The sequence below is a fragment of the Homo sapiens genome, chromosome 15 (assembly GCF_000001405.40).
Source record: "Homo sapiens chromosome 15, GRCh38.p14 Primary Assembly".
Classification (NCBI taxonomy): Eukaryota; Metazoa; Chordata; class Mammalia; order Primates; family Hominidae; genus Homo; species Homo sapiens.
Window position 1 is genome coordinate 38,690,091 of NC_000015.10, and position 10,726 is coordinate 38,700,816.

At 45.2% G+C, this 10,726-nt stretch overlaps 1 long non-coding RNA gene across 1 annotated transcript, besides 1 other annotated feature; it reads left to right on the forward strand.

Moving 5' to 3' along the window:
- Positions 1–6,507: 6,507 nt before the first annotated feature.
- LINC02694 (long intergenic non-protein coding RNA 2694) lies at positions 6,508–9,948 on the forward strand. The gene is made up of 2 exons (NR_160786.1): positions 6,508–6,649; positions 8,048–9,948. It is a non-coding gene; the product is annotated as a long intergenic non-protein coding RNA 2694 (long non-coding RNA).
- Positions 6,618–6,667: an enhancer, noted in NCBI's record as "active region_9214". NCBI's record gives its function as "activates an Ori minimal core promoter by ATAC-STARR-seq in GM12878 lymphoblastoid cells {active_cell/tissue: GM12878}" and the evidence as "EXISTENCE:reporter gene assay evidence [ECO:0000049][PMID:35858748]".
- Positions 9,949–10,726: the final 778 nt, after the last annotated feature.

Consider the following 10,726-nt stretch of genomic DNA (forward strand, 5'->3'; position numbering starts at 1 on the left):
CAAGGGGATGTGCCTGGGAGATGTGTTCATGCTGGTCCTAGCCCAAGGTGGGAAAGTACTGGAGCTCGGGGGGCGGTGGCGATATGGAATTGGGAGGTAGGAGGTCTGCTACTGTCAAGGCAATAAAAGAGAAAGTGTTAGCAGTTCCTATTCTAGGAGCAGCTTACTCTACAGGGAGGCAAGAGTGCATACTTTTATAGAGCTTCAAAGGAAAGAATAGTCGGAGATGCAGGCTCAGGAAGTAGGGCAGAAAATCCAAAGTCGGTGGCCTTATGGTATTGTCTAGATGAGCATGTTTTGCACTTTGAAGCTTCACAGACCCAGTGTTAGGGGAAGCCGCTTCAAGGTGAGGCTCTAAGCCTCTCCATCAGACAGCAACTTCAATACCCAGCAAAGCGTAAAAAGCAATATTTTACTCATGTGAATGTACACGTGAAACAAGAGGGGGGAAGTGTGCCTGAAAAAAATAGCAAGCATCAAGTAGATGTGTTCTAAAGTAAAGAATAGGAGACCAGTAATTGCAGACCAAAAAGCTTTTCCTCTCCAGAGCCCGAACACTAATGCAGGCATTGTTCCTCCTTCAGAAACCCCTCTTAATAGAGCATTAGTACTTCAGAACATTTATACCTATTAGGATATGCTCATCACAGCTCTTGACAAAGCCTCTAAATTATACCTTTTATAATTCCGTTATTCTTTTTGTGCTGCGAAGTCTTATGCTGTGTGTTAATGCAAGGCAATTAGCTTTATCAGGAAGAAAAGAAAAACTGGCTTGACTTCTTGCAAATGCTGAAATTGCCAGATCACACACTCTGTTACTATCGCCCTTGAGCGCCACCTTCAGGCAGTTCTTTGGTACTGTTGTGGAAATTTCTAGCCTTCTCAAGGTTGCTTGTGAACTGAAAGGCACAGACAGACCCCTTTCCTTAAGCTGCCTGTTGGAATATGGTGATACAGATAAGTATAAGAACCTTCCAAGAGGCAGTTTTATTTCTGGTGGCTGATTTTTCACTGATTTGATTATTTTATAATGACTAAATGTTAGAAAGAGGCCTTTCTAACATTTAATTTGGGGGCCCTAAATGAAAAATTACTGGACTGAAAAACTGGTTTGACTCATTAGTCACTGAGGTTATTGACTAAATGAATAAATTTACTAGATGTTTTACTGAAACCCAAGACAATCCTGATTCTTAAATTTAGCTGTTAATTTCAACCACCTTCCAAATTTCAAACCTGGCCTTCTTCTCCAATTTTATATTTTTAAACCTGGCAATTAATTACTAGATGATGTTCTTCATTTTCATGTAGGGATTCTGATGAATAGGAAAAAAAGAAGAGAAAAAATTTCATAACCTTAACAAACTACCTTTACTAGTTAAAAACCATCTAGAAACCCGCTGATCTGATTCAAATAACTCCACTTATCTGTTGGTCTCTCCTCACTCTTAGCTTCTATTGGCTGCCTCAGAGTTGAACTTGGCTTGACTTTCAGCTCTGCTGCTTTCTGTGTGATTATATCACATAGAATGTTCTCAGCTTCAAGTAATAAAAAATCCAACAAAAACTGGCCACATCAAACTATTAACTCACTTAACACAGAAAGTCCGGGTGAGAGCAGTTTCAGGGTTGGGTAATTCATCTGTTCTCTTCTTTTTTTTTTTTGAGATGGAGTCTTGCTCTGTCGCCCAGGCTGGAGTGCAGTGGCGTGATCTCAGCTCAGCTCACTGCAACCTCTGCCTCCCAGGTTCAAGCGATTCTCCTGCCTCAGCCTCCTGGCTAGCTGGGATTACAGGTGCCTGCTACCATGCATGGCTAATTTTTGTATTTTTTTTTTTTTAGTAGAGATGGGGTTTCACCATGTTGGCTAGGCTGATCTTGAGTTCCTGACCTCAGGCAATCTGCCTGCCTCAGCCTCCAAAAGTGCTGGGATTACCGGCGTGAGCTCGGTCCAATAATATCTTAAGTAGCCGGGCTTTCCCCTTCTTTTTCCCCTGCCGACTTTAGTGTGCTGGCTTTTGTTCTCCAGATGGTGTCCACAGTTCTAGGCATCACCTCAGGGTGCAGCACAGCCTGTTTCATCAACACAATATGTTTGTGTTTCAAAGAAAGGAATTTTGCTTTCCCAGAACCCTGCAGAACACTCTCCCTCCATGCTAATGAGAATGGAAATTATCATGAGTAGTTTAGGTTGGCCCATCCCCGTCCTGGCTGCACTTTTGAATCACTGGGGAGCTTTATAAAACTACTGAGGCCTAGACTTACTCCAGATAAGCTGGTTTAACTAGACTGGGATGGTTCTAATGGGCAGCCAGTGCTCAGATCACTGGCATAGTTTAATCATGATTCCCTTACATTGGCAGCAAGCAGCTCAGCCTCCCCTGAGCATGGCCCACCTGGTGCCTTTAAAAATTAGGGTTCTAATACTGGCAGGAGGTCCAGAGGGATGGTAATCCAGCAGTCAGACAAGCACATTTCTATAACCAGTCAACTGTACTTTGAGTCTTTAATCTTTTGCCTGGAAAATAGGAATTATAATATGTGACTTGCAAGGCATGCCTGCAGGGGTTGCAAGCTCAGAAAACTCAGGAATGGGTCAGGGAGAATTCCAGTCTTAGCTGTTTCTCAATCGCCAAAGCTCACAGAGATACCATTTTGTCTTTCCCTTTTTTTTTTTTTTTTTTCTCTTCTCAGGCTTCCCTCTTCCTGACTTAGGACAAGGCCTTGGGGTTGGGTGGTGGCAGGGAGAAGGTTCCGGGTGACTTCTTACTGTGCTTCTAAAGCAGCATTATTCACAGTAGTTGAGATATGAAAACAATGTGTCCATTGACAGATGACTGGATAAAGAAAATGTGGTGTGCGTGTGTGTGTGTGTGTGTGACACACACAATGGAATATTATTTAGCCTTAAAAAGGAAGAAATCCTGCCAGTTGTGACAACATGGATTAACCTGGAGGACATTACGTTAAGTGAAATGTACCAGACACAGAACAACAAATATCATATGATCTCTTTTATATGAGGAATCTAAAAATAATCAAAACAGAGAGTAGACTGGCAGTTACCAAAGGGACCAGGGGGAGATGTAGGTCAAAGGGTACAAAACTGCAGTTACATAGGATGAATAAGCCTTGAAATCTAATGCACAGCACAAGGACGATATAATATTATATTATATACAGATGCTTCTCTAACATAACCTTATTGTAAGTCAAGAAGCATGCTGAATGTGTATCTCTTCCACATTGTCATAATGCTGAAACATCTTAAGTCAAACCATCATTAAGTCAAGGACCATCTGTACTGGAAATTCGCTTAGAGAGCAGATTTTAGGTGTTCTTACCACACACCCTAAAAAAGGTAACTCTGTGAGATGATGATATGTTAATTGGCTTGACTCTAGTAATTATTTCACTATGTATATCAAAACATCACGTTGTGCATTATTAAATATATACAATAAACAAACAAACACTGACATGTCCAAATAAGTAAGTAAATATATAATAAAGTTTGATCCCCTTCATCTCCAGCTGGCTTTATATCTCACTATCCAGCAATGGGAGGAAAACCAGGCAGCTTTTGTGGGCCTCTTGTCCTGGACTCCCTAATAGTTACTCTTGGGGCTGGCACCCAGTGTCTTGGTTCCCAGAGGTTTTCATGGAGGCTCTCTGAAAATAAGATTTCTTCAAGGAGTTTCTATCACAGGCTTGCACGGCCCTAGTTATTTTACACATCAGTGTTCTTTTTTCCTGGGTGGGGAGGGAATGACATAACACAGCCATGTACGTCGGAGACTCGAGCCTGGCTGCCTGGTCCGGCCCTCTCCATCAGAGCCCTTGTCCCCTTGGGATTTTCCCCTAGAGTCCAGTTTTCTCTCTTTCTCTCTCCAATTTGACCTCCTCTGGGGATTCCCAGCCCATCAAACATGTATGACTGAATATGTGTTTCCATACTCCATTGGCTGCCCACCATGTGCCAGATACCATCTGAACCTTGAGAACACAGCAGTGAACAAGACTGGCAAGGGCCCTGCTCCCACGGAGCTCACACTTGTGTAGGGTGACAGAAGACAGTAGACAATAAGCAAACCAGACCTAAGATCATGTCAGACAATGATAAGAAAATAAGAGGGGAAAGTGGGATAGTGAACCCTTGGGGTGGGTGGGCTACCTCAGAGGGGGCATCAGGCATCAGCACCTCTGAGGGGAGACATTTGAACTGAGGCCTGAACAGTGAGAGGGGCTCAGCCACAAAGAAGCTGAAGGAGGAATGTTTCAGACAGAGGCAACAGTGGGTAAGGCCTCCAAGGTAGAAACAAACTTGGGGTGTTGGAAGAACAGTGAGAAGGCTGGTGGGCTGGAGTAGAGTAGGGTCCAAGTTCATTTTAAGAGCACACATGGAACTTAGGCCAATTCCAGGACATGACTGGACACTTATGTTAATGGTTCCTAAAAGATAGTGTAACAGTTGGGAAGTTACCAGATGTTCTATACTGGGAGCCTTGTCTTCCCAGAACTCATGAGAGTCTCCCAGTGACAGCATTGCCTGCTTGCCTGAAAGGATCTCACCTTCAACTTTAAGGACAGGGACATCCAGTTTAATGTCACTCTGGTCTGATTCATTGTGATTCCATTATTTAAAAAACATGAATCTTTATTTCCATGACATCCGTAGAAGTTTTTCCCTACATTCCAAGAGCTGTCTTCCACTCTCAATCAATAAGAGCTAACAGAACTACGTGTTCTCTGCATTCCTGGGCAGTGCATGATACTACAAACACTCTCAACCAATGAGCTCTCTCCTCAGTTGAGGATGTTCTGCAACGTGGGACTTTATTTTTGCTATTGATTTTGTGTACTCGAAATTATTAGCCTAAGTCCCCAGTAAAGAGATTGGGTCTATGACCTGGGCTAGTCTCAATGAAAAGGAAGAGGGAATTCACCCGTTTCCCAAAACTTGGGTGGTTGAGATGATGTAGGCAGTTTTGAGGTAGAGCAGAATTGGGGGGCGGGTGCGGGGAGTCAAGGATTCTTCCATTCCAGGTTGGGAATCTGCAATCCCTTTGATGTAATAGCATGCCAGATGTTTGAACTATGAAATTGTTTCTGGGGTTCAGACTGTAGAACCCACTGAGGCAGAAATGTGGGAACTTGGTAGGAAAACATAAAGATGACAGCATGTTGGATACTTCAAGAAGGTACAAGGTCCTTTCCACGGAAGTTTTGCTAAAAGTGGATCAGGAACAAGAGGTGAATTATGTAACTTTGCTTCAGAAGCCACATCTACCTGTAATCAGCCATCAGAGGCTGAGGAAGGTCAGATTATCTTGTGTCTTCCTTATCATCGCCATCACTATCAGCAGCAGCAGCAGCAGCAGCAGCAGCAGCAGCAGAGTTCTCTGTCACACTCTATTACTAAAGCTAAAGATTGCATGTGATTATAGATATTTATTATTCTGGTCATTGTCATGGTGATCTTTGCGGAAAGATATTAGAGGAAAACTCCCTCCTAGTCATATCTGGAGGCCAATGTCCTTAAACAGAAAACTGGGGTCATACCCTGTAAAACCTATCAGACCAAGTAATCCAGAGCTGGGATGGGGGCAGGATCTCTTTAGAGTAAGACTTGCCTTCCAAGCCACATAACTGTCATCTGGAGCTTGTCACTGCTGACAATTTTCCTCCTTGCTGCCAGCTTGCTCTGTATCACGCAGGGCTATCATCAGTAACTTAGCCCTAAGAGGGGTACAGGAAAGATTAAAAAAAGGAATGCTATATTTGTGGGGGAATCATTCTCTAAAAGTCTCCCTTGCCAGCAAATTTTAAGTGGTAGGAGCAGTGGTTGTCACCACAGCTGGCACTTTGGGTTTTGTGGTGTGAAGCAAAGGCTTTTTAACTGAGAGAGGACTGGTGCCCATTCCTGGTGGCAGCTCCTGCCACTGGAAGCCTGGTTGGCCAGAATGTGATGCTGTGATGGGGACTGCATCTGGATCCCAGCTGTCAGGACCTGGCTTCCAGATCTGAATTCTAGAGCAGAGGGAGGGAAGGCAGAACACCTACCAGCACACTAATGTTTCAAGTTTGGCCTAGAGCAAAGAGCCTGAGTTGCTGTTGGCCAAACGTTGGCCTGTGTTTGTCAGACTGGGCTGAAGACTTCCTCCCTGGTCTATCCTTCACCTCTTATGCCACAGTTTTGGGAAACACTGTGCTCAGCAAGCTGAACTGCTTCTTGGGTGTGCGACTAGGGTGCCAGCCAGGCCAGGGACGTCCAGGACTGGAAGAAATGCAGGGGCAGGACCACAGCACAGGCTGATCAGGAGGCTGCCCCACCAGGAGCTCTGCTGAAGGCTGCATCCTCTCTGCTGAGAGTCAACCACTGTGCTGACTCACCATCCTTGTGGTTGAGAACCCATCAGCAAATTGGTGGCTCTGATGAGCCCTGGAGCTGCAAAATATAGGCCGGGGTACCTCAGCCGGAAGGGACTTCAGTTAGTGACAGGTTTTCTGTTCTGATATGGAGCTACAAGGGGCCCAAGAGGACCTGGGCATTTCCCTCTCTAGTCCCCGGAGGAACCATGAAACCAGGCCAGGAAGCAAGGCTAAGGGCAGGAGCAGCATCTGTCTCCAGGCGTCTGTTTGGATGGCTGTAAGTCCCACCTTGCTCTGTTTTTTTCTGCTATGGCTGAACCTGGATCTAGCAGGGTTCTCAGTTTCTGCTATGGCTGAACCTGGATCTCAGTCCCCTGGTGAGCTTAGCTCCTGCCTCCCAGAGAACTGGAATGACCTTATTCAGACACCTCCAGCCTGTATAAGTCAGGGGCAAGGACTGGGGAGTCAAGAGGGTTAAGGGAGTGAGAGGTGAGAGTTACAATCTACATTGTATTTTATGTCAACAGCATCCCCTGGAGTACTGCAAAGCTCTAAGTCAGATATCCCAGTGGGGGGCATCACCCATCCTAGACTTTCTCCCCTGCCCCATGCCCCTTATACCAACATCAATTCAGCACATAGCACTGTACTTGGCCATTAAGATAGTAAATAAATGCCTGGTGAATAGTTTGATAGACAGAAAGATGCCCACTCCCCCAACCCAAAGATGTTTACATTCTCATTCCTAGAAACTGTAAATATGTTATCTTAATAGCAAACAGGATTTTGCAAGTGTGGTTAACATTAAGGATCTTGAGATAAAGAGATTATCCTGGATTATCCGAATGGGCCTAATCTAATCCTAAAAAGCAGACAGGCTTCCCTGGGTGCAGTCAGAGACAGAAATGCAGCTAGGGGAATTGGAGTCAAAGAGAGGGCCATGAGAGAAGGATTCCATGCCCTGTGGCTGGTTCTGAGAGGTAGGGACTCTATGTAAGGACAGAGCAAATGTCTTCTAGGAGTTCAGGGTGGCCCCAGTTAGCAACCAGCAAGGACCTCAGTCTTACAGTCCCACGGAACTGTCAAGACCAGAATGAGCAAAGATAGTGATGCACCCCCAGAGCTGCCACCAAGGAACGCTGTCCTGCCGAGACGTTGATTTTAGTCCTATGAGACCCATAGGACTTCTGGCCCATAGAACTAAATGATAGTGTGTGTTTTAAGCTGCTAAAGTTTTGGTAATTTATTATAGTAGCAACCGATAATAGAAATGGCTATAAAATGGAATGTATTTTGTAACTGAACATAATTTTCTTGCCTCTGGTGTCCCTAATTTCCTTGGTGGCTGGCAGTCATAGAGAAGTCCTTTTCCATGGTTAGCTGTGTGCCAGTGACGGGGAGGGCATCCTTACTCTGGTCTCAAGTGCTTCTTGGCACCCCTGGGTTTACTTTTTTGCTGATGTCCCCTGGCATAGGTGTTGCTAGAAGCTGGCGTTTTTAGGAAGCACGTAGAACTCTCTGCTCCTTCATAGTCAGTCAGTGGCTCCATCCCAGGCAGGTGCTCCAGACCCATCCCATTCATTAGTCATCTATTCTGTACAAGAAACTTGATGAATTTTATTTCATTTAATTCTAACAACTATATGAATTAGGTAATGTTATCCCCATTTTACAGGGAGGAAAGCTGAGGCTCAGAGCAAGTGAACATCTAACCCAGGGCCACCAACAAGAGCTCAGGGATTGGAATCTGGGAGAAGATGCTTCCCTTCTCTTCTCCAAGAGTCCTTTTGGGGCTGGCAAGTTGATACAAGCTCCAGCTCATGTCTTCAGACAATGCTGGGTCCAAGGAAATGCATGGATCTCCTGCATTACAAAGTTTGACTCCAAGAGAAGCCCAGAAGTGGCTTCCAGCCCCTCCTACCTAACTGTGCCCCGCCGTTCACCACTTCCTGTCTTCCTGCGACCCAGTGACAGATGTGTCTGTGGGGGCTGCTACTTGGGAAAGTCCACCAGGAGGAGAGCATGCCAATCTCTCCTCTCAGATCCTCTGGGGGTTACTTTCCCCACCCAAACTAGGCCTTGATGTCAAGGCCTAGTTACAGGGATGTCAAACTAGGAGGTTGATGTCGGTGTGGTGTGTAAGATGTTGGGGAGAAGCTGCAGGTGCCTTCTTACCAGCTCTTCCTGAAAACTTGTCTCTCCCTCTCCTTGTTAGTCTGTTTTATAACTCACACTCCAGCCGGGGGGAAGTAAAGGAGCTTATCCCGTTCACAGATCCTGTAACCCATGGTGGTTATTACCTCATAGCTGGTGCAGTGTTCTTTGAGCCTAGCAGTTTGGTTTAGACTCAAGTGTCTATTCTTTGCAGTCTTTCTGGGGTTGGTAGCAGAGAAAGAGAAGAGAACAGGTAATTCGATCACTCAGGTTATTCGTGTGTAAAAGTTGAAGCCCTACCACAAACGTATGAGTGGATGTTATAGTGTAATAACCTGGACATTGCCAAGACAGCTTCCTCAGGGCTTTTGTTTCCTCAAGCCTACCTGAAGGCTCTCTTCTCAGTCACGGGGGATGGAATTGTTTCATCCCTGGCTTGCTCTGGGCCTCAGTTTCCCTATTCCAGGATAGTTTCCCTATTCCCTATTCTGCATCATAAAAAAAAAAATACACTCCTGATAGAAGTCGGTTGATGCTTTTGGCCTGCAGCCTCCTTAAGGTTAATAGTCCACATAATTTCCTCAGGGGCCCTGGCTGGCCTGTTGTGGGTGTACCCATGAAGTATCTTGATTTGCTATGATAGGAGCCACCTTGGCTTCCTGTGGAGATAAGCCCTGCCCCTCGTTCCCACTTTAAGCTTGAAAAGTCCCTTATCCAACTTTGGAATGGGAACTAGAAAGACTAAGCAGTGTCTCTCAGGGGTTCCTTCTGGGGTCACTCAGAAGAGGAGAACCAAGCAGTCTTGGCGGAGAGACACCTGAAGTTGGTCACTCGGCACATTACCAGGGGCTCAGCAATGACCAGCCTGCAACCATCCTGCCTTTCCCCAGGGGTCTGGGCTCCAGCCATGGAGGGTGGACTGGAGACTCCTTTGCCTTTCAACACTGTCTGGCCTGTCTCGGGTCCGGCACGTCTTTTCTCTACTGATTTTGTGGCTGTGGTTAACTTAGCTAACCTTTCAGTGAAATAATGTCTAGTGGCATTCCTTTACATTTTCCATGTGCTGTTTTTTCCATAACTCCATTTTCTTCAGGGCTGAGTTTGGGTCTTCATTTTTCCACCCACAGGCCTAGTTAAGCTTGGTCTTGTGCTCCAACTTACCTGCCCCAGACTTCTTGGATGGACATTGTCAATCTGGTCATATTGAGAGTGAAACTGCCACCTAGTGGTCACTGGAGGTGTGCCTGCCTTTTCATGAGCTCTCTTGCTGCTGGTTACCGGAAACATCAGTTGATGGTTTTCTTCTAAGCTAACTCAGAAGCTGTGATGTGAATCAGACCAAACAATTTATCTGCTTCAAATCCATATTGTAAAGAGGTTTAATATAAAGACATATTTTCAAATCAAAATAAATAATGAAGCAAAAATCAGATAGACATGTACTCCTTTGCCAAACTGGAACACAATTTTTCTTTCTTTGACTAAATTTCAATTCAAATGAAGTCCTACAAAGACAAAACAAATCAACTAACAAACAGCCCAACAAAAACACCTAAACCAAACAGCCCAGCAAAAAGCGGAATGGTCATTTTCATTTATCCAACACAAATCTACTTAGTGCTGGGCTGGTTCTGGTAGGCAACCAAGTGTTTAGTGGATACCCGAGCAGCTCATTCTAATACAACATGGCAACTTAAAATCAGGTGAAGAAATGCAGTGGGAGAAAACAAAGAGGAATTGGTAACTCTGCAGAGCAGTGACATTTGAATAGACTTGTCAAGGAAGACTAGATTTAGTCAGGCAGGAGGGAGAGAGGGCAGGGAGGGAATTCTACCTGACTAAGGAAGAGCATGTGCAAGGCCTAGGGGAATGGAAGAGAAGAATGAGTTCAGGTGTCTGGAAGAGGTTGTCTTAGTAGGTTTCCTGTTGCTGTAACAGAATACTACAGAGTGGGTAATTTATAATGAAGAGAAATTTATTTAGTGTATGGTTTTGGAGGCTGGGAAGTCCAAGAGCATGGTGCTGTCCTCCAGGAAGGGTCATTCCATGGCAGGGAGGCAGAAGGGCAAGAGAGGGAGTGTGAGAAAGAGAGACAGAGACAGAGAGGGAGGGAGGGAGGAAAAGGGGGCCAGACTCCCAAGATCGCTCACTCACTTCTGTGATGACAGCATGAGTCTATTCACAAAGGCAGAGCCCTCAG